This window comes from Homo sapiens, chromosome 5, assembly GCF_000001405.40.
Source record: "Homo sapiens chromosome 5, GRCh38.p14 Primary Assembly".
Lineage (NCBI taxonomy): Eukaryota > Metazoa > Chordata > Mammalia > Primates > Hominidae > Homo > Homo sapiens.
This window is the reverse complement of record NC_000005.10, coordinates 68,936,186-68,959,743: the sequence shown is the minus strand read 5'-3', so window position 1 is coordinate 68,959,743 and position 23,558 is coordinate 68,936,186. Positions and strand designations below refer to the sequence as shown.

At 41.4% G+C, this 23,558-nt stretch overlaps 1 long non-coding RNA gene across 1 annotated transcript; it reads right to left on the bottom strand.

The window, feature by feature from the left end:
- Positions 1-9,505: 9,505 nt before the first annotated feature.
- On the bottom strand, positions 9,506-17,288 carry LOC105379015 (uncharacterized). Its single transcript, XR_948415.3, has 3 exons — positions 17,206-17,288; positions 13,492-13,618; positions 9,506-9,589 (listed from the first exon to the last, which is right to left on the bottom strand). It is a non-coding gene; the product is annotated as an uncharacterized LOC105379015 (long non-coding RNA).
- Positions 17,289-23,558: the final 6,270 nt, after the last annotated feature.

Sequence of the window (23,558 nt, the reverse complement as noted above, 5' to 3'; positions counted from 1 at the left end):
TTACATATGTATACATGCTCCATGTTGGTGTGCTGCACCCATTAACTCGTCATTTACATTAGGTATATCTCCTAATGCTATCCCTCCCCCCTCCCCCCACCCCACGACAAGCCCCGGTGTGTGATATTCCCCTTCCTGTGTCCAAGTGTTCTCATTGTTCAATTCCCACCTATGAGTGAGAACAAGGGCATGGTTACTTTTAAATAACTGGGGAGGTAGTATTATTTTTAAAATATTATTTTAAAAAACCCACTGATGAAGTACAGCTCTGGCATGACCAATCATTACTATTACTCAGGTCAAAAGAAAGCCCAGAGCCTCTGAACACATCAATACTGAGGAGATGGGGGAACATTTTAGAAAAAAAGATTACGTAGAGGCAGGGGTTGGTAGTTGTTTTTTTTTTTTTAGACAGAGTTTCACTCTTGTTGCCCAGGCTGGAGTGCAATGCATGATCTTGGCTCACCACGACCTCCGCCTCCTGGGTTCAAGCGATTCTCCCGCCTCAGCCTCCCGAGTAGCTGGGATTACAGGCATGTGCCACCACACCCAGCTAATTTTTTTGTATTTTTTAGTAGAGACGGGGGTTTCTCCATGTTGGTCAGGCTAGCCTCGAACTCCCGACCTCAGGTGATCTGCCTGCCTTGGCCTCCCAAAGTGCTGGGATTACAGGTGTGAGTCACCGGGCCTGTTGAGTTGGTAGCTTTTAAATAATGAAACTCAAAACCTTCCCAGCTGTAGGAACAGGCAAGGCTGTTTTAAGTTTTAACATTTGGTCTTGAAATTCCCACCGCTTGTAAAATTGCATCCCTTCCTCTCCTGACAGTGTAATGGAAATTCCCACTCCTTCAGTTTAAGCCTGTGTGTCTCTAGAATGCAAATTGTATTCTCTAGGAGTAATAGCATAATAATCCAATAATACTAAGTCTTTCAGATTAGATTATATTAGCTTAGCTAGGTGTTACCTTGGAAAGTACAGTGCTTTGCTCTGAGGGAACAGGACACAGAAGAAGCTGACTTGGAGGAAAGGAAAGACCTGGAGTCTTGGGCTCAGGGGGCCTTTGGGCAACCAAGGGCACTGTGGGGCAGGAGAGAACTGCTAGTTAATGATTTCGCCAGCTGCTTGTTCTGCCAGGGAGAGTTCAGCTAGGCTTTCCAGTTCCCTGCAACCTTTAGGTCTAACACAGTTTATTCTAAGGTTGTGCTCTCAAAACTGATTCTCTTTTGTGTTGAAACAGAGGAGGATGGTATTGGGTGACAGTTTTGGTAGCTTCAGTCATACCACTGCATCTTCAGGCCCCTCTCCCCATTTCAAGTTTGGAGAGCCACCCATTCTAAAAAAGAAAAAGAAAACCACTGTTCTAGTTGTTCGAGTTAAGCCAGGTCAAGCAGTTGGCGGCTTTGAGGGGGCATTTAGGCAGAAATAACCCACTGAGTTTTTCCCTCTTCTCCACCTCTAATGATGACTAAGTCACCTGAAGCAAACATTATACAAACCTTATCCTAATATCATGGGAAATCCTCAGACAACAGAAAGATAAGACTTACTGAGGAGCAAGCTATGACTTTGTTTCCTTTTAATAGCTTGTGCTGACTGGGAACCTTAAAACAAATTCCATGGAATGTTTTCAGTGATATTTTCCTGGCTAATCTATCAGACAGATTAGAGCACAAGGTTTGCTCCCTACTTTAACAGCCACACATAAAGTTTGCCTGACTCTATGACAGAAGCACTGTGCATCCCACATCACGTTGTAAAGAGGGAAGCCCAAGTTTATTCTGCAGCCTCTTTCAGGTCCTCAGGAGTTGCTGCAGGCTGCTTATAACCTGCCAGGAGTCCTCATTTCTTTGCCAGCTTTTGGTGGCCAGGTGGCCTTCCATGCTGAACCTTAAGTAAACTAATGTCCACTTGCAATGCCTTGTGACAGAATGCTGCCAGATGACAAAGGACAGGGACAGGGCTGAGTTGGAGTCTGACTGGTCTGGTTTTAGGCATCAGCCCTCCCCTGTCCTCACTTGACAGATGGGAGGGCATGGAGGGAGGATCATCTCATGGCCATTGTGCTCAGCTCACTCTGGGTCTGTGTTTGGAGGGTGACCAGTGTTGTGGCCTGTGGAGGGGACTTGGCAGAGGGGGAGAAGATGAAGAGGATATGCTGGGCCTATTCACAGAGGGGCTAAGCACTGCAAGGCTGTGTGCATATTATAAGACTATATTGGGCCAGGCATGGTGGCTCACACCTGTAATCCCAGCACTTTGGGAGGCTGAGGCAGGTGGATCACCTGAGGTCAGGAGTTTGAGACCAGCCTGGCCAACATGGTGAAACCCCATGTTTACTAAAAATACAAAAATTAGCCAGGCATGGTGGCACATGCCTGTAACTCCAGCTACTTGGGAGGCTGAGGCAGGAGAATTGCTTGAACCTGGGAGGCAGAGGTTGCAGTTAGCCGAGATCACGCCATTGCACTCTAGCCTGGGCAGTAAGAGTGAAACTCTGTCTCAAAAAAAAAAAAGATTATATTAATATAAAATATAAATGTTCAGAAATAATACTAGAATTAGAGGATTAGAATATGAATCATTTAGTGGCTCCTGGTACTATTGCATTTACACATTTTTAAAATTGTATAACTTGAAGTTGTACAACATGATGCTTTGATACACATATACATAGTGAAGTGATTACTGCAGTTAAGCAAATTAACGTATCCCTTACCTCACAGGTACTTTTTTTGTGTAATAAGAGAACCTCAAATCTCTCTTAGGAAATTTCCAGTATATAATACAATATTATTAAGTATTGTCTTCATGCTGTACATTAGACCTCTAGACTTATTTATCCTGCAGAACTACAACTTTCTACTCTTCATGTTACATCTCCTTATTTTTCCCAGCCCTGATAACCACTTTTCTGCTGTTTCTATACACTTGATGTCTTTTTTCAGTTTCCACATATAAGTGAGGTCATGAAGTGCGTTTCTTTCTGCGTCTGGCTTGTTTCACTTAGTCTAATGTCATCTAGGTTCATCCATGTTTTTGCATATGGCGGCCTCTCTGGTACTGTTATATTCAGCTCTAAGAGTCCTCTGAGCACTTCTAGAAATAAGTTCCCCAAACCCAGGTCTATACAAAGAAGCCTCATGTTAGCTCTGGAAGGACACTGAACATCGGGATTAGATTGGGGGTTAGGCCTAGTGGTCTACAAGGTTCTTGCCACCTCTAAGATTCTCTGAATTATTCCAGGCTTGTAAGATGAACCTTTCTAAGCACCTTTGCAGATAATTCTATAAATAACATTGCTTACAATTGCTATATCTCCATCTTGGAAACTGCTGTCTTGGTGCCCGAAGTTTCTGCGGAAATAAGCACAAATGGGCTCTGTTGGACAAATCTTTTAGAGAGACTGAAGGCAATTTGTTGGAAGTCTTCACACACTGTTACTGGATGTGACCCTTACATGCTAAGAAGGTTGGGCAGAATGTTATTGTTCTTGATTAATTCTCCCTCCAGGAGGAACCTTTTTATTTAAAGTATGATGGTTCGTGCTTGTCAGAAGAAACATGTTCTATAAATCTCGAAGAAGGAAAAGGTCACTGAAATGGCTTTCTATGTGCTTCTTAGAATCAAGTCTTGCTAATGACATAGGTTGAAATTCATAAGGATTGGTGAAAGTAGGTTTTCAACAGAAACATTTTATTAACTGCAAAGAAGAAGATCACTCCAAGTCCAAATTCTTGCCTGTTACATTACCCTCCCTGGAGACCATCTACCTCGACATCAAAACTTCTTTCAAAAGTTTAAGAATAACAACGGCCACTCAGACTATATGTATTGTTATGATGACGCGTATATATAGAGTCACAATGAGGTGGATTTTATTGATTCAGTTTTGTGGATGGAGCTTGGAGAAGTATCTTGTCCAAGGTGTCCTAGCAAAGGAATCCAAAGTAGAGGACTTTTTTCCACTAATCTACGCCTTCTCTTATGTTCCTTTGGCTCTGGTCATTCTACTTCCTTCCACCATCTCTGGCTCTCACCAACATTAACCTAACGCTTTAGGCAAACTGCTTGCTGGCTACCATGATCCTCCTAGATTTCTGTTTTCAGACATTATAGCTTCCCCTTGCTGTTGCAGGAGAAAAGCAACTTCTCCCCAGCTTTTTCGTGAACTTTCCTCCCTAGGACTTACTTTCCCTCTCTGTGAAAGGGTGCTAATGGCCAGGAATCATCTTGCCTGTTATCCTCTCTCTTCCACCTCAGTCGGATGGCCCTCTCACCAGGCTCTGTGAGCCCAGCCTCTGATATGCTTCAAGAGCAGGCGATGCTCTGGGCAGGAAGGACATAGAGCCCAGGGCTCAGGAAGCATTCATTCCTTATTCTTAAATGCTTATCTAGATGCTCTTATTGTTGCTGCCTGTAACTTATGGCTCAGTTATTCCCGGCCTGTGCCCCCAACCTTCTGTTGCTTTCTTTCTCCTAGTCCCTGAATCTCATCTGCACCACTTAGCAGATATGTGACCTTGGGCAAATAGCATAACTTCTTTGGGCCTCAGTCTTCTCATCTGTAATATAAAATAGGTTGATAATATCTGTCTTGCAGAGATTAGTTGTGTAGACTTAATGAGTTAGTATTTTATAGAAAAACACCTGACACATAGTACAAATAGTAAAATGGATGCAGAGTCCATTTTCATTTCCATTTTTCTTGATTTTGGCCATAGAAACAATAATCTTTAAACAGTAAATCATCACTAGATCATCTTTTAAACTCAGTCTACCCAATGAGACCCTCAAGCCTCGTCATGTTTCTGTCTCCATGTGCTAATATGCGGTTTGACTCCATAGGGACCCTGGTCCCAAACCCTCACTGCTTTTGATGCTAGTGGTTTTGGGGCCTGCTCCCTCTTCCTGCTACACCCTGTCTTGCTTTTCTGTGTCTCTGAGGCTTACCTCCATATCATTTGTCTATGTCCTTCTCGCTACTATAGCCAGGTGCTGACTATAATAATACCTGCTTTGCATACCTCAGGGATTATTGTGAGGATCAAAGGGGATGATTAACATGTTGTAAGTGCTTTGAGAAGGAAGATGAGCTGCGTCACATGGGTTATTATGATGATTATAACTCCTGGACTGTCTTCAGATGACTAAAAATATCCACCTAGTGTGGACCTTTTCAGCGTATTCTTATCTCTCTTGGACTTCCCTGCACTGGCTGAGAAGCCTGACAGTTTAAAGCAACTGAAGAACTTGCTGGTAGACAGCAGTGTTGGGGGTAGAGAATGCCTGAGTAATGAGTTATCTTCTTTAGGGTCCCAACGGGAAATCTGGTACCCTGGAAAGCGTTAATTTACCTCACTTGAGTGAATGCTTTAGACCCAGCAAGCATTTCATTTGCCCAGGCAGCCCATTGTGATGATGATATTAAATAATCATTATCATTACGTGGAAATTCTGTCACCTTGGGGATTTAGAAAGTGTTTCTCAAGCCATTTATACATAAGCAACCAAAATGAGCAGAATGTTCATCTAGAAGAAAGTATTTGTGAAGAAAACATTTGTTTGTAATTGTCAGCATTTGGCGAAAGCAGAGAATGAAAGAATGAAATGAACCACAGCTTTGGATTCCTTCCAGCGTTTTTTTTCCAATCCCAAATTGTCAGACTAGGGAGGGAAGTCTTCCTGTCATGGACCCTGAGCTCTGGGGAGGAGAGTAAGAGACTTCAACTTCCTTACCCTCTCCATCCAGGAAGTCGTTTCCAAGGGAGCTGTCTCTAGGGAAAAGCAAGAGCCCGTTGGCTAATATTTATTTATAGTCGTATACCCTGTAAACTTGTCTTCTTTTAAAAATTAAGAGCAAAAAAGTGGTTTTGGTTCTTGTTTGTTTGGACCACCTCCAGACAGTCATATCTGTTTTCTTTATTTCTGTGCTAGTTGCTCAACATTGTAGGTCTTGATTGAATTGGTTTTATTCCTAGGTCCTCCCTTATTATTAATGTTCTTATTATTGGTTAGTTCTTCTATGTTTGCAGTGTCCTTGACAATCTTTTTTTATTAGCTGTTCTTTATAACAACTCAGTGAGTTGGATCAGCCTTACTGAATATTTATCCAACAAACTGTCCAACATTTTCTTTTGTTGGTTTTGGTTAGGATTTATTGCAATCTTTTTTTTTTCTTTCTGATAATCATCCTTCTGCAAGAAACGTGTTTCATGCTCTTTCTTGCAGGGTTATATGAGCCAGGGGCTTGTGTCATCTGCTTTCAATTCATGTTTAGTTTCTTCCTCCCCTTCCTGGCTTTCTCACCCTCCTCAAAGTTATCGTTGTTTCTCCTGGTCAGGCAAATGGCCCTCAACTAATCTAAGGCAGGTTTGAGCAGAGGGCTTCGTTTTTGATTTCTTGGCATTTGGGTGCATCTCTAAGTGACCACAGGCTGTCAGCAATTCCACATGGTTTGTTACCAAATAGGCCATTGCTGCTAACATTTTGTGGCTGTTGTTGCTGTGGCTGGATGGATATTACCTCTATGGTGAACCACTGGAATGTATGAAGAGAGAGGTCTCAGGGATGGTTGAGAATTGGTACTGTAGCAAGAAAGGATACCAATTCCGATCACCCAATAAATATCCCTGTCTTCTGAAACCCACCGTCATCATCACCTTTATCACCAGCAGCCGTTCCCCCACAATAGTGGCTACGCTCAGCCTTGCCACCACCATCAAAACCATTTTATTATGTTTCTATCTATGCATGTATACTTAGACATCCTTGTAGCCTAGACACTTATAAGTAAATTGGACCCGCAATACCATTTTGAACTTTGAATTCTTAATATGTCTATTTTCCTTCTTCTGCCTACCACTATACTTTCATATTTCTCAATTGCACTTTTATCTTATTGTAATAATTGTTGACTTGTTTTTCTCATCCACTTGACTCTGGACTTCCTGAGGGTACAGAATGTATCTTATTCTTTATATGTCAAGTACTGTGCTAGGCACCAGGGATATCCATGGGGGGAGGTGTCAAAAAGTGTTTGTTGAATGAATATTTAATGTTCTTTTAATTAAATGAAAAATGCTTTGTAAACCATAAAGATGTTTTATCAACCAGTAAGGATGGTACAAATACAACTTCTTTATTTAATTATAATTGCATTACTTTGTCTTTACAGCAATGAAAGATAGATTTAAATCCTATGAGACTGGACAAATACCTGATCTATCAATTTTATAGAACAAGAATGATGGCAATTAGACTGAATTTGGAAGAGGTTAAAAAGATCAGCCATGGTTTTTTTTGACTTGTTTTTGATGTCTTGCCTGGACACCTGTGGGGATTGAGAGAGCCTGGCAATGGCTAGGAGAATAGCCTCCAAGTATCTCTAAAATTCACTAAAAAAATTCTCAGCCAGTTGCAGGGGCTCACACTTGTAATCCTAGCACTTTGGGAGGCTGAGATGGGAGGATCGCTGGAGCTTAGGAGTTCGAGACTAGCCTGGGCAACATAGTGAGACCTCATCACTACAAAAAAATAAAAATAAAAAATTAGCCTGGTGTGGTGGCATGCCTGTAGTTCCAGCTACTTGGGAGGCTGAGGTGGGAGGATCATGTGAGCTCAGGAAGTCAAGGCTGCAATAAGTTGTGATTGTGCCACTACACTCCAGCCTGGGTGACTGAGCGAGACTCTGTTTGGGGAAAAAAAAAAAAAAATCTCAGCTGCATAAGTGGGTATTTTAGAAAATGTCTTTTTTTTTGTTTGTTTTTTTGAGACGGAGTCTCGTTCTGTCACCCAGGCTGGAGTGCAGTGGCGCGATCTCGGCTCACTGCAAGCTCCGCCTCCTGGGTTCATGCCATTCTCCTGCCTCAGCCTCCCGGGTAGCTGAGGCTGCAGGCACCCGCCATCATGCCCAGCTAATTTTTTGTATTTTTAGTAGAGACGGGGTTTCACCTTGTTAGCCAGGATGGTCTCGATCTCCTGACCCTGTGATCCACCCGCCTTGGCCTCCCAAAGTGCTGGGATTACAGGCGTGAGCCACCGCGCCCGGGCCTAGAAAATGTCTTAGTGAGGTTGTATTTAATGAGTTCTGAATGTAGATGGTTCTGGAAAGCTATGTATTGTGCTGTGTTGTACCAGATTTAAACCATTGGAACAGGAGTTGCCAAAGTAATCCAAAGTAGTTAGCAGTTTGAAAATAGCTCAATGCTCTGGAACTCTCTCTACTATCCTTGCCCTTTGAAACTTAGAGGCTGTGAAGAAGGGAAAAAAGTGGGTTCCTTTATTTTCTCTCTCCATCTACTTTCTCATGGTATACTGCTCCAAAACAGTGGAGTGGTTATTTCTGCAGAACAAACATTACAATTAGTGATTAAAGAATAAGTTTTACTTACGAGTCTGGCACATTTCTGGTAATTAATAAATACTGACTGAGTGAATAAGTGAATGAAGTTAGCCTCATTATCCCAGCTGTTCAAAAAAATTTAACACTTGCACATAAAAAAGGCCCAGGAATAACTTTACTGGCTTTTACCCAAGGGTACCCAAGGATCAATTGGCAACAGGGGAAGAGCTTTGAGTTTGAGCCAAGTTCACTTACAAGAAGCAGCTTTTGATGAAAAGTCAGTTCTGTTATCAACATTCCTTCAACTTTTTCAACAGCCCTGGCAAACTCTTTTTGAAAAGCAAATACACTGTAGGCAGAAGCTAAACTGGAAAGTCAGAAGGCAGGTCCCATCCCCAGTTGGGCAGCAGGAAATCCCAAACCAATGCTCTGGTCCATTTTGCAGGGGATGGGTTTATAGAAGACCGACAGTACTTCTGAGTCTATGCATAGAGACACTAGACTGATTGCTGGACGTCAACAGAAAATCAGTGTACTAGAATTTACTTGTGTTAAATGAGGTTGCCAGGAGGTTGCACTACAGGATTCAGGCTTTTCATGAGTTATTCTTGTTACTGGTCACTGTTAGAACTTGACTTTTGGATTTAGTTATTCTCTTAAATTGTAGCTTAAAGGCCAGAGGGCCATTTTCCTTCCTTACTGCCTGCTTTTCTGTTCCTCATTTTTATTTTATTTTATTACCATTGATGCAGGTTTCTTTTCTGTATGTGCCATTCTCTCTGTTTGGCAGGAGCTGGCCATCAGAAGATTTTTTTCATCTGCTTAGTTCTTTGGGTGCTGAAGATTTAGCTAATTGGGAATTGAATGGAAGAAAGACTCAAGCAGGGGAATGTGTGCATGAAATGGATTTTTTGTTCCTCCGAGGATTTGTCGTAAGCAGACATAAAGTGTCTTTCTCACTCAGACTACCTCCAAGCATTTTCACAAATCAATTAGCCACTGGCAGGGCAGAGCGAGTGGAGGCGGAATGAGGCTTGTCTTGACAGGCAGAGGCTCTGGCTGCTCTCTCTCTCAGGCATGCTGTCCTTGATCAGTAGATAACCACGGTGACACTTCACCCCCCTGGCAACTGTTTCCATTACAATCAGAACTTCAGAGCAAGGGCACAGCTTTCAGGGTTTCACTCCACTCCATTAATAAACAAACACCCACAAGGAAGGACTGGGGAGAAGGGAGGTTGGCCATCCCTTTAAGACACGAAGCCAAGAAAAGGAAACAAAAAGAAATCCATCTTTTATTTGCTCACTTTGACTCCAGAACACTTATGTATTCTCTGGATGGTTCTGTCGTTGACTAATGTGGAACCTGAGAGTTTCTCTCGTTCATTAGATGGGACCAGTGAAGCACAGCAAAGGATTCTTAATTCTGAGGGGATGAGGCTCTCCACAGGAGCCCTTCCAAGCTTACAAAATAGGTGTGACATGCCTCCTGCCAGTTCCCCAGAGGGCAAAGCCTCCAGCATACTATGCCTTAGGGGCCTGTGAGGTACAGACTGGGGAAGAATCTGGAGAACACCTAAAAATGCGTCCAACTGGGCTGTCAGAGAAATTCTCTGATAGTCAACTCTGCAGGAACAAGTGGAGGTTCTAAAATACACACATCATTTTGGGAACACGTTTTGAACTCTGAGTTCCCAGCCTGTCAATGATAGGGCTAGAGGGGAGGGGTGGAGGTCAGAGGATGGGATAAAAGGGTGACCACTGCAGTAGATTCAAGAGGGTGAGGGTGAGCCCCGTCCTTCAGGAAGCTTGCAGCCGTTCAGACTACTCAGGGAGCCTAGAGTTTGGAGAGAAAAGTGTTTCTTATGTAATAGCTGGGAGCTCTTATCTCATTCTTGAGAACAAGCTGGGGGGTAGGTGGCAACTATTTTGGTCTTCTGTTTCACAGTTGGCAGAGCTGAGGTACAGGGAAAGGAATTGGTGTGTCTTAGCCCACTTAGCCAGATGTGCATGTGAAGAGAGTTCCTTTAATGCCTCTCCGCAGTTCCTGGAGGAATGTCCCCATCCTCCATCAATGCCATTTACAACTCCTACTCCAAGCCCCATGGCTGCCTCATAGACAGTGGGAATTTACAGCATCACTGAGGTTACCTGAGAGACTTGGAATCCATAGACTTGACCTTGAATTCTGGCTCTTCTACTTATTAGCTCTGTGGTCTTGGGCAAGTTACTTAATCTCTCTGCAGCCTCAGTTTGCTCCTCTTTAGAATGAGGATGACAATAGCTACAGCAGAGGTCATTACGAGAATTAAAAGTGTTGGAAAACACTTAACCCAGTGCCTTGTATAACTCAGTAAATGTTAGTTGGATCTGAATTTAATGAAGAAATAAAATGAGCCCAGATTTCCTTCTCTGACTTCTTTTGAGCTGAGGAAAGAGCAGGTTCCAGCATACTGACTGCTCACAGATTTCTCCATACCTGTGATTCTCAAAGTGTGGGTGCTGGCCCACCCAGTATCAGGCACCTGGGAACCTGTGAGAAATGTGAATTCTTAGGCCCCATCCTAGACTTAGTGGGTGGTGAAGGGTAGCAATCTATGCTTCAAAAAGTCCTCTAGAAATTAAACACTGCATGTTCTCACTTATAAGTGGGAACTGAATAATGAGAACACATGGACATATGGAGAGGGAACACACACTGGAGCCTGTTGGAGTCAAGGGTGAGGCAGGGAGAGCATCAGGAAGAATAGCTAATGGATGCTGGCCTTCATACCTAGGTGATGGGATGGTCTGCAGCAAACCATGATGACACGTGTTACCTACATAACAAACCTGCGCATCCTGCACATGTACCCTTGAACTTAAAGGTTGAAGGAAAAAAAGAGTCCTGCAGGTGATTCTGATCCACACTCAAGTTTGAGACTCATTGTCCTAAATATTAACTTCAAAGTGGCAGGAACAAAACAACTATGGAAACGTTAGGCATAATTATTGTAAAATGTGGCTGCTACAGCTCTTTCTTTGACAGCTTGGTCTTAGGCATATATTGGTGGTACATCTACATCTGCATGTCTTTGTGGATTTGACAAGAGAAGCGAAAAGAGTATTTGCTAAAGCTGACCAGCGCTCTGAATTTTTAAGACATCCTGCATTTCCTCCTGCAGGGGATAGAATTGGCAAAAGAATATTGTGGGTCTACATGAGCATGCAGCTGATAGAAGAAACTGTCAAATGCAATCTAAAAGAACACAGTCCTTGTAATGTAAGGGTGTGCAGAGACAGAACACATCTTGAACTAAAACACTAAGGGAGGTATGTGCTTAGACATATATACTCTGGGAGAAGCTGCTAAATTTATTAGATATTCAGAAGGATGCTTAAGGTGTTGACAAGGATTGAAATGATTTTGAAACTACTTTGAAAGCTGAATATGCACTGTAAAGTTTGGATATTTTAGAATTGTAGAGAAGATCAACTTTTCATCTTTCCAACAGGTGGTAGGAGGTTGTGTCTCATGACTGATTCCTCATTTATACCATGTACTTCTTCACAGGGGGTTCTGGAGATCCTCTTAGCAACAATATCTACTATTTCCTCCTCCCTTTGTGCCTTGATTCTGCACCTTTTCCACCACTTTTATTCCTCTCTGGAAAAGTTTGGAACCACCTCCTGCCACCTGCATTTTCCAGGGGGGAAGCATTGGTCTAGTTGCCTTACCAGAACCTGACAGCATAGAATATTTAAGTCCAGAAAGATTTGTTATCGGTCTGTAATTCAACACTCTCATTTTACTGATGACAAAATTGAAGCCCAGAGATGGAGTCTCCTGATTCCAGGTTTGATGCTCTTAAATTATTCTGTAAGTGTCTTCACAGAGTCTGCATGCTTAGTAATCACAGGGTATGGCAGGGAAAGGGGGAGGCATGGACTAAGACGCCTTCCCTTCACCCCTAGTTTTTCAGATGTAATACCTGTTAAAAAAGATCAGTCTATATGTGGGTCAGTATTGTAATTTTCCACTTTCATTTAAATAAGTGAGGAATGTGGTATTTGGCCCATTTTAAATTATGGACACTAGGGAATTGGTGTAAGTCAAAACAGAAAAAGTCCCAAATAGCTTCTAGTTTATCTTTTTGATGAAGAGCTCATTATTGGCAAACCATTAACTTTAATTGCTGCCAAAGTCATGCTGTTCACTTATATGGGGAAGAGTGGGTGGGACCCAGTCCTTGACATCATATTATTTCTCATAGCGCTTGAATTTCTAGAGAAAATCACTATTTTCTCCCTATATGATAGCTTTAAAGTAGGAACAAAATGTTCCTCTTTGGCTTTGGAACTAGGAATATCAGATGGTTGCTTAATATTCCTTAAATTTTCCTTGACATTCTTCATGCTGACATTCTGAAGTGCCTAGACAATAAGTCAGATGATTTCTTAGATGTTCAGGGAACAGCGCATACAGCGCCCGTATGCAATTTTTCAGGATAATGGGAGAAAACCTTGGCTTAGATTACTTCAAACCAGGCAGATCATCAGAATAAACAAAGTTGTGTGTGTGTGTGCCTGTGTGTGTGCATATGTGTTTCAGCTTCATTTTCTTTCTGACTCCATAAGGGACTACTCTGTGGTAAGGGCATACTTGAATATTCACTGTGTATTAATAATATTTTAAACTGTACATATATTAGTTGACTTTATTGTGTGCTGGTACTTGCGCTATGCTTTTAATATCTCATTTATTGCTCAAACTCTCTATGGAAAGAATTTTATCCCGTTTTATAACCTTGGCAATGTTAAGTAATTTGCCACAGGTCACACAGGAATTAAGTGGGAAAGTCAGGATTTGAACCCAGATTGCCTGAAAGAAAAGGGAAGGGAGGCTTCAGGAGGGGATGGCTGAAAGGAAGGAGGTCAGGAGACACTTGGGGTTTGCCTGTATGAGAGAGGTCTGGGACAACTACTTAACCTTAAACAATATGGCATTTTGGAATGAATGACATCTCCACTCTTGTGCTGCTACCCTCCCTCCAACCTTTCTCTACACAGCAGTAACAGTCATCTTACATGTATATTAGAAAGTGTTGTGCCTGCTTTGACACCCTTCAGTTGCTTCCCATTGCACTTAGAATACAATTCAAAGTCCTTACCTTTGTCTACAAGGCTGCTACAAGACGGCCGATGTCCCGCGCATATTCCTTTTAGGACTCGTTGTACTTGAATGTTCGGCAACTTTCTGCTGTGACCACCCAAAACTCCCCACCTGAGGTTTTCTGGCTAGTAGCAGACAAAAAGTGTCTGGGAGTTAATGCCCCAGGAGCAGGTCTCAATCAGTGATGGACAAGAATAGGTGGATAAATACCCCCACTGTCTTGCCACTCAGGTGGTAGAACTCTGAGGTGTGCTTGGTGCAATCTCCAGCAGTCTCCCATGGGAGTGAGACCCAGCTGCCCACAGAGGTAAACTGCTTGCTAGCACACTGTGTATTGCCTTTCATCCCACCCTACCTCACTTTCCTGTGCCTTTTCTGTACTTCCTCCAAAACATACTACTTGTGTTCAAATCCTTGTGCATGGTCTGATTCAGGGAACCCAACATAAGCCAAAGGTCTGGTCTTGTCTGGTCTGGGCTGCCCACCTCTCCAGCTCATCTAGAGCCACTGTACCCCACAGACTGCTTTCTAGCTGCACTGCTCTTCTTTATGCTTCTAAACATTCTAGGCTGCTTTGTACGTCATGCTGTTCCTTTTGCCTGAATATTCTGTTCCTATACTTCCCAGGCCCGACTCCTTATCAGTTTGTTTGCAGCTTAAATGCTGCCTCCTCCAGAGGCCTTCCCTTATATCCTGTAAAAGAGAGCATGGTCTTGGAGGAGGGAATCAGGCTCCCCTTACTTTGGTCCTAAACAGAGCAGCGTGGATGGTGGAGTGACAGCTGCCTCCTGCCTTCCCCTTTGGCCTCCTGCTTTCTCCATATCTCCTGCCCATGCTGGGTCAGGTTGGGCCCATTCGCTGTGCAGTTGGGACTACTACTGAGTGCTCCCAGGTTTAAGAATAAAGCTTAAAATAGGAAAGAGTGATGTCAGGGCTGAGGGGAGAGACATGGAGGCCGGGTACTCAGAAGGTCTGACACACATCAGAGAAAGCCTTGAAATTAAGGAGATATCCTCTAAATCCAATTCTCAGTATCTTCTGAGGTCCATTCAACAAATGTCCTTAAAATCCTATATTGATTTCTGTCATGATTCTTTGTAAGGGGTATTCTTCCATTTGTTTAAAGTTGGCTTTTGTTGTTATTGTTGCTTAAGAGAAATGAAGAAGAAATTACAGGCCTTCTTGTACCTGTGTGTTCTATTCTCTTATCAAATAGGCAGTAAAGGTATGTTTTTATTTAGTTGTTGTTTTTCTTTTTAAAGGAGCCCAGAACAATTTTTTTTAAGTGAATTAAGAAGAGACTGTCCTTCTGAGTAGAGGTGGCCTGCCTGTGCATGTGCAAGGCCCAGATGGCAGCCCCGGCCCTTTCTCCTGTGTAGGACCAACTTCTCTAACTTAGGAGGGAATCTGAGCCCAGAGATGGAGATGTGGTATCCCCACCACTAACAGTTCTAACCTCTGAGAAATGTGTGGATGGAGCACAAAGGTGCCATCTATGAACAGGGAAACGGGCCCTGCAGACACAGAATTTATTGGTGCCTTGATCTTGGACTTCTCAGCCTCTAGAACTGTTAGAAAGAAATTTCTGTGGTTTAGAGGCCACCTAGTTTTTGACGGTTTTGTTGTAGCAGCCTGCATGGACTAAGACAGCTCTAGAGAGCATGAGGGCCAATCTCTCATCTTACCCAGGAGGAGGCTGAGGCCTACAGCCATTTAATGACTGATTGAAGGCCATGCTGCTGATTTGTGGCACATGTGGGATAAAAACAGACTGAATATCATGGAAAAATTCTTTTAAGCCACTAACTGTCTAAAAGGTTCTTATAATTCTCAGGAAGTTTACCAAAGGGGGTGGGTGTCTGATGAAGACAATGGGAAATTCACCAAAGTAAGGGGTCTGATGAAGACATTTTAGGGAACAGTGTGGCCTTAGAAAAAAGTACTTTTGCAAAAATTTACTTTAGGCTCTCAAAATTTAAAATTTTCCCACCGAATATTTCTTCCTTTGCAAATGTTTCCAGATTTGTGTTGATTGCTTCTAAACACAGAGCAAAGTACTTATGTGTGGTAAGAATTGATGTTGCCCCCAGGATCTTATTTTGTCAAGGCAGCAATGCTGCTTTCTTGATGTTTTCAGAGCCAGTGGTCTTAGATCAATGTTACTGAAGCCTTCAGCTCACTGTCATTTGAATGTTCCTTCTTTTTTTCTGTTAGGGCCTGAAATAACTCGGTGACTAAGGAATTTCATTGAGAAAAAAGACAAAAACAAAACAAATACTTTGTCTTTTGGAATAAATGAATCCTTACAGAAGAGTGGTAAAATGAACACGAGTTTGGATCTGTGGAGCCATTATTAAGTAATGAAGACTGAATTCACCTTCTTTGGGCTGAAGCGAAATAGAGATGAAAATCCCTTCAATAATAGATATCTACCCACTCCATGGCCTCTACACCCGCTACTACCCACATCTGCTGCACATGATGGAAACATTGTTATTCATTTGGTTAATCATCAAACTCCCATTGAACACATACTCCATTATGCACTGAATTATTACATTCTGTAATTCCAAGTAGAAGAGAATCTAAGAGCTTGTATTCACAAATAACTTGTCTGAAGAAATAACATCAAAAGAATATGGCATCTCAAATGATTATGAAAATCACCCTTCATAGAAGATGGCGGATTATGTTTGTTGCATTGTTTCTGTAATGGGACTGATAGTTTGTGCTGAATAATTCATGCTATTTGCCCAAGCCCCTTGAAAGTGCTGGCATATCTCTGAGGGACAGCTGGCTGAGATTATGGGACATACTATTGCCACAGACTTGAATATTGCCAAATGGCCTCTTGGAGATTTTTTTTGGTAGTGCAGTGTTTGCAATGCTGTCTGTGGAATTATGCAGACCTGGGTTCAAATTCTAACTCTACCCTTTGACTTGGACAAGGGATTTAACCTCTTTTAGTCTCAATTTCCTTGTATGTAAAATGAAAGTAGTAATCCATCCTTATTGGGATTTATACATATAATGTTATAGGAACAGAAATTTCATTGTTTTAATGAAAACTCCTTTTTCAAGGAGGTTGGGTCTGGTTAAAGGGAATGTCCCTTTCCTATTTAGTGCCTTGGGTTTGGTTGTGAAAACCTAGTAAGAGGAGTTGAGGGGTAGGTGGGTACTGGGAGAGCTCCATTCTTTTTAGAAGAAGAAGAATGGGGTGAGGAGAAGAGAAGGGAGGAGAGAGGCAAGAGGAGTCAGCCAAAAGGAGTGAAGCAGGAGGGCGATGAGGCCAACAAATTGGCAAGGTGGTGGTTGTGGGATAAAGGACATTTTAAGAACTGTGGTGCTCCTTGACTTATTCCTGATTTATTAAAACTGTGTGTGTTGGGCCTGGCGCGGTGGCTCACGCCTGTAATCCCAGCACTTTGGGAGGCCGAGGCTGGCGGATCACGAGGTGAGGAGATCGAGACCATCCTGGCTAACACGGTGAAACTCCGTCTCTACTAAAAATACAAAAAGTTAGACGGGTGTGGTGGCGGGCACCTGTAGTCCCAGCTACTTGGGAGGCTGAGGCAGGAGAATGGTGCGAACTGGGGAGGCAGAGCTTGCAGTGAGCTGAGATAGCGCCACTGCACTCCAGCCTGGGCGAAAGAGCGAGACTCCGTCTCAAAAAAAAAAAAAAATTGTATATGTTGCTGTGAGGGGAACTCACCTTTGTTTTTTATGTCCTCAGAGAGTCTACTTGACTTCTTCTGCTCCTGGTCCAGTTTTTGATAAAGTCTGCAAAGCTTACCGGTGTTTCATGAAAGTTAGGTTGTGTGTGTGTTATAAGTGGAAGTGGGTGGAATTCAATTGTTGAGATGACACAGGTTGCCAGGAGACAGAGATCGTGAGGATGAAACCTCTTGGGAATTTGCAGAAAGCAGGTGAGGACTTCAGGTTTTCATAGGTCTTGGTGGTTCTACCCAAGCTGACAAGATCTCAAGGGGGCAGGCTCTGACATCTGAATATCCTTAGACTGTATTTATTGAACTTCCACTCTGTGCCAGAGGCTGATATGTGACCATTGTGTGCATTCTCTCCTTCCTTTCACTAACAAATATTTATGAAGGGTCCAGTTTAATTTTCACAAGTTGATTAAGTATCAGAGTACCGCAATTAACCCCAGTTTATTTTTTATTTTTTGAAAAGCCTAATGTAAAAGAACATGTTCATGTTTCTATTTCTTGTTAGAATTTGAGAAATGTGTATTATAATCCTGGATTTTAACTTTTTATTTATTTTTTCCAACTTTTATTTTAGATTTGGGGGTACATATGCAGGTTTATTACCTGGGTATATTACATGATGCTGAGGTTTGGGTTATGAATGTATGAATGATCCCATCACCCAGGTACTGAGCATGGTACCCAACATGCTCAGCTTTTCAATCATTTCCCCCATCCCTACCTCCCTCATCTAGTAGTCCCCAGTGTCTATTGTTGCCATCTTCATATCCACGAGTACCTAGTGTTTAGCTCCCACTCATAAGTGAGAATATGTGCTGTTTGGTTTTCTGTTCATGTGTTAATTCACTTAGGATAATGGTCTCCAGCTGCATCCATGTTGCTGCAAAGGGCATAATTTTGTTCTTTTTAATGGCTGCATAGTATTCTATGGTGTATATGTACCACATTTTCTTTATCCAGTCTGCTGTTGATGAGCACCTAGGTTGATTCCGTATCTTTGCTATTGTGAATAATGCTGTGATGAACATGCGTGTGCATGTGTCTTTTTGGTAGAACAATTTGTTTTTGCTTGGCCGTGTACTCTGTAATGGGATTGCTGGGTTGAATGGTAGTTGTGTTTTAAGTTCTTTAAGAAATCTCTAAACTGCTTTCCATAGTGGCTGAACTAATTTACGTTCCAACCAACAGTGTATAAGCATCCTCTTTTCTCTGCAGCCTTGCCAACATCTGTGTTTTTTTTTGACTTTTTAATAATAGCCATTCTGACTGGTGTGAGATAGTGTCTCATTGTGGTTTTGGTTTGCATTTCTCTGATAATTAGCGATGTGGAACATTTTTTTCATATGTTTGTTGGCTACTTGTATGTCTTCTTTTGTATGTCTTCTGTTCATGCCTTTTGCCCATTTTAAATGAGATTATTTGTTTTTTACTTGTTCAGTTAAGTTTCTTATAGATTCTGAATATTAGACCTTTGTCAGATGCATAGTTTCTTCCATTCTGTAAGTTGTCTTTTTACTTGGTTGATAGTTTCTTTTGCTGTGCAGAAACTCTTCAGTTTAATTAAGTCTCACTTGCCAATTTTTGTTTTTGTTGCAATTGCTTTTGAGCACTTAGTCATAAATTCTTTCCCAAGGCTGATGTCCAGAATGGTGTTTCTTAGGTTTCCTTGTAGGATTCTTATAGTTTGAGGTCTTACATTTAAATCTTTAATCTATCTTGGGTTAATTTTTGTATATCGTGAATTATAGGGATCAAATTTCATTCTTCTACATATGGCTTACCAGCTATCCCAGCACCATTTATTGAATACAGAGTCCTTTCCCTGTTGCTTATTTTTGTCAACTTTGTCAAAGATCAGATGGCTGTAGGTGTGCAGCTTTATTTCTAGGTTCTCTATTCTGTTCCATTGGTTTATGTGTCTGTTTTTGTATAGTACCATGCTGTTTTGGTTCCTATAGCCTTAGAATATAGTTTGAAGTCAGGTTATCTAAGTCTCATTATCTAAGTCAGAAGATTGTTTTGGCTATTTGGATTCTTTTTTGGTTTTCTATAAATTTTAAAATAGTTTTTTCCAGTTCTAAAATTTGAGTGTTACTATGTGCCAGGCACTATTCTAAGTGCTTTAGTTAGCACTTGTTTAATCCTGGAAGCAATCCTTTGAAATGCGTTCTTTTCTTTTTGTTTTTTTTTAATGATACTTTAAGTTCTGGGGTACATGTGTAGAATGTGCAGTTTTGTTACATGGGTATACACGTGCCATGGTGGTTTGCTGCACTCATCAACCCGTCATCTACATTAGGTATGAAATGGATTATTTTGTAGGCCCATTTTGTAGATAAAGAGAGTGAAGTCCAGGGAGGTCAAGTAACTTGCTCAGGTCTTTGAGTTGGTAGGTGGCAGAGCTGGGATATGGCCAGACCTGGTTTGATCTCTTGACCATAGAATGTTCTATTGCCTCTTGTTAAATATTCATCCATTACCTTCTTACATGTTTGATTTTCAATGAAGTAGCCATTGCTCAAGGGAACAAGGCATAGACAAGGCTAAATTAAGCCTAGTATTGTGGCTGAAATTCTGCAAAAGAAAAGCTAGTTGAACTGCTTTTTAAATAATCCATACATGACTCTGAGGCTGTCAGTTTTGAGGAGAAAGATTGACAAAATAAAATTTATGGCTTTAAAACATATTTTGAGTTCCAAAGGAAGCCATAAAATTATTGATGTGGCTGCACGTTTTTCAGAACAGATGACTTAGATAATGAAAGACTCCTGATAAAGAGATTTAAAAGCTAAAAATATCAATTCTGCATTTCACATATCTTGCGTGGGAGGGAGATTTCTGAAAGAGCAATATCTTCCCTTAGCACTCCATTCCAGATGGCTGCCGTGTATGGAAATGAGTAGGTAATGGTGGCTTGTTGTGGCAAGAAAAACCATTGGAAGGAGTAAGGGAAGGTGGAAAATAGGGAACATGCATATTAAAACATAATATTAATACTTAGTGACTCTATAGTAATGGGGCTATTTCCTCACAGTCATATGAATCTGGAAAAAGGCAAGACACTGTACTTTTAGGGGATTTCAAAGAATGAAAAGTTAATTTTAAAAAGTTATACAGCCATTGGATCAGAAATGTTTATGCGGTCACAGCTCATGCAGGCTTGATACGTCATCTAGAAGTGTAGGAATTCGTCCTATTAGAATCCCTATTAGAATCCATTTGCAGTTTCTATGTGCTCAAGGGAAGATTTATTTCTGACAAATGAGTGATAATATCTAAGGTCATTAGTAATGACAGTCTAACACCCTGAAATGCTTCTTGGAAGAGAGGAATTTCATTATGTGCCCTTTCTTCTGTAGTCAGAGCCTGAGTTGGGATGGTGGGCTGCCAGCTCTGATATCACTCCCCTCTCGTCCTATAATGATAATGACACTCCTGCTTTAACACATCTTAAGTATAACTAGCTCCCCTGGGGAGTTTGCTACAAGAGAACGTCCATCTATTTTTTGATTATATGTGGTTTCACCATTACCACTATCACCATTACCACCACTACCACCCTGATATGTTTACTATAGACTAAGTACTCTGCTAAATGCCTTAGGATCATCACATTAACATTTTTGTAAAAAATATTTTTTATATTTATATATAGACAACTACAGAATGGAAGAAGATTTTTACAAAATATGCTTCTGACAAAGGTCTAATGTCCAGCATCTATAAGGAACATAAATCTACAAGAAAAAAACAAACAACCTTATTAAAGAGTGGGCAAAATGTCTACCGATGGATCAGTCTGGCAATACCAAAAACAAATAAACAAAAAGTAGGCAAAGGACATGAACAGATGCTTTGCAAAACAGGATATACATGTGCCCAACGATCATATGAAAAAGAGCTCAGCATCACTGATCATTAGAGAAACACAAATCAAAACCACAAGGAGATACCATCTCACACCGTCAGAATGGTTATTATTAAAAATCCAAAAGATAACAAATGCTGGCGAGGTTGTAGGGAAAAATGGATGCTTATACACTGTTGGTGGGAGTGTAAGTTAGTTCAGCCATTGTGGAAGACAGTGTGGTGATTCCTCAAAGACTTAAAAACAAATAACCATTTGACCCAGCAATCCCATTACTGGGTATATACCCAAAGGAATATAAATAATTCTATCATAAAGCATGCGTGCATATATATGTTCATTGCAGCACTATGCACAATCACAAAGACATGGAATCAATCCAAATGCCCATAAATGGTAGACTGGATAAAGAAAATGTATGTATACACCATATACTGTGCAGCCGTAAAGAATGAGATGACATCCTTTACAGGAACATGGGTGGAGTTGGAGGCCATTATCCTTAGCAAACTAATACAGGTACAGAAAACCAAACACTACATGTTTTCACTTATAAGTGGGAGCTAAACGATGAGAACACATGGACACATGGTGGGGAAAAACACACACTGGGGCCTGTCGGGGTGGGGTGGGAAGAGGGAAAGGATCAGAAAAAATAACTAATGGGTACTAGGCTTAATACCTGGGTGATAAAATAATCTGTACAACAAAACCCCATGATACAAGCTTACCTATATAACAAACCTGCATATGTATCCCTGAACTTAACAGTTAAATAAAAAATTCTTATTGATAAATTATAATTGTATATATTTACGGATTATAATGTAATATTTATATATTCAATGTGGAGTGATTAAATCTATCCAATTAACATGTCTATCACCTCAAATACTTATGATTTTTTGTTATGAGAACATTTAAAACCTACTTTCTTAGCAATTTTGAGGTATATAATGCATTCTTATTAACCATAGTAACCACGCTGTGCAATTGATGTTAAAAATATATTTCTCCTGTCTAACTGAAGCTTTGTACCCTTTGGCCAATATGTCTGTATTCCCCCATCCACCATTAGCCAGCCTCTAGCAACCACCACTGTACTCTTTGCTTTTGAGAGTTTAGCCTTTTTAGATTCTATAATACATGTAAGGGAGAGCATACAGTATTTGTCTCTCTCTACTTGGCTTATTTCACTTAGCATAATGTCCTCCAGGTTTATCCATGTTGTCACAAATGACAGGATTTCCTGCTTTTCAAAGGCTGAACAGTATTTCATTGTGCACATATACCACTTTTTCTTTATTCTTTCATCTGTGAATGGACTCTTAGGTCAACTCTATATCTTGGCTATTGTGAAGAATGGTGCAATAGACAAACAAAGGGAGAGAGATTCTGTGTTCAAGATCATCAACGTTCAATCTTCATATTATGAGTGAGGGAGGGCCACAGCCAAAAGGCCCTGGTGCATGTAGGGAGTGAGCTCTGCTCCTTGTGTGGTACTCATGGGCTTGAACAAAGCTGGCTCAGTGGGCAGTTAGGAGGAGCAACTTTTGACCTTGAAGTTTCCCTTTATTTCCAGTGTGCATCTACTTGGTGTCTCCTAGGATTTTTGTTAAAAATTTTGGCTGTTCTCTAGGCATTCAAAATTATTTCTTCAAAGAGTGGGGTCTCAAACATCACAATTTCCATCAACACATTTCCTTGAAGGACCTCCTGCTTTCCTCTGGGTCTTCTGGGTATTCTCTTCCTGATTTACTCAGAGATCACAGCTTTTCTGTAGAGGCAACAGTTCTTGAGTCAAGAATATCGATCAGTGGTTGTCTCTTTTCAGACGGGATAATCTACCTCAGCATTATTCTTATGTATGTTCTGCAAAAAACTAGTGAGATAATCAGCAACAACAAAAAGGCTCCATGGACAATACTCACTGCAGATATGACTCTCAGTGCACAAACTTAATTATACAGGGAAATATCACATTCTTCTATTTTCATGAATCAACCTGATTTTAGCTCTGATCTGCCATCCCTCCGGATTGATGGGAAATTTCAAGTCGGACAAACTTGGGCAAACTTTTCCTTCCAAAGGGTTGTGTCAAGATTCTGTGGTCTTACCGATTGCCAAGGAATGGAGAAATGCTACCCACAGTGCTTGTTGTGGAGATGCTCACTATAACAACCTGCACAGTCCCTTCAGATGGGCTTGCTGCTGCCTCTGTCCTGTGCTTGGGGCACAGGGTCTTTGATGAGGTTAGAAGCCCCAAAGATTTGCCTTTGGGAAAAACTAGGGAATAGGGAGCGTGTGTCTCTGCTCTTAAGACCTCTAACCTTCTCTCTCTTCCAAACTTCTTTGATTTGGGAATAAGAATCAAGAAGCCCTGATATCCCTCTCCCCTGAGGCAAGACAGAGTAGAGCCTTCCTTTTTCTCTAATGGTGAAAGGGAAAATGAAAAGCATAGGGAGAAAA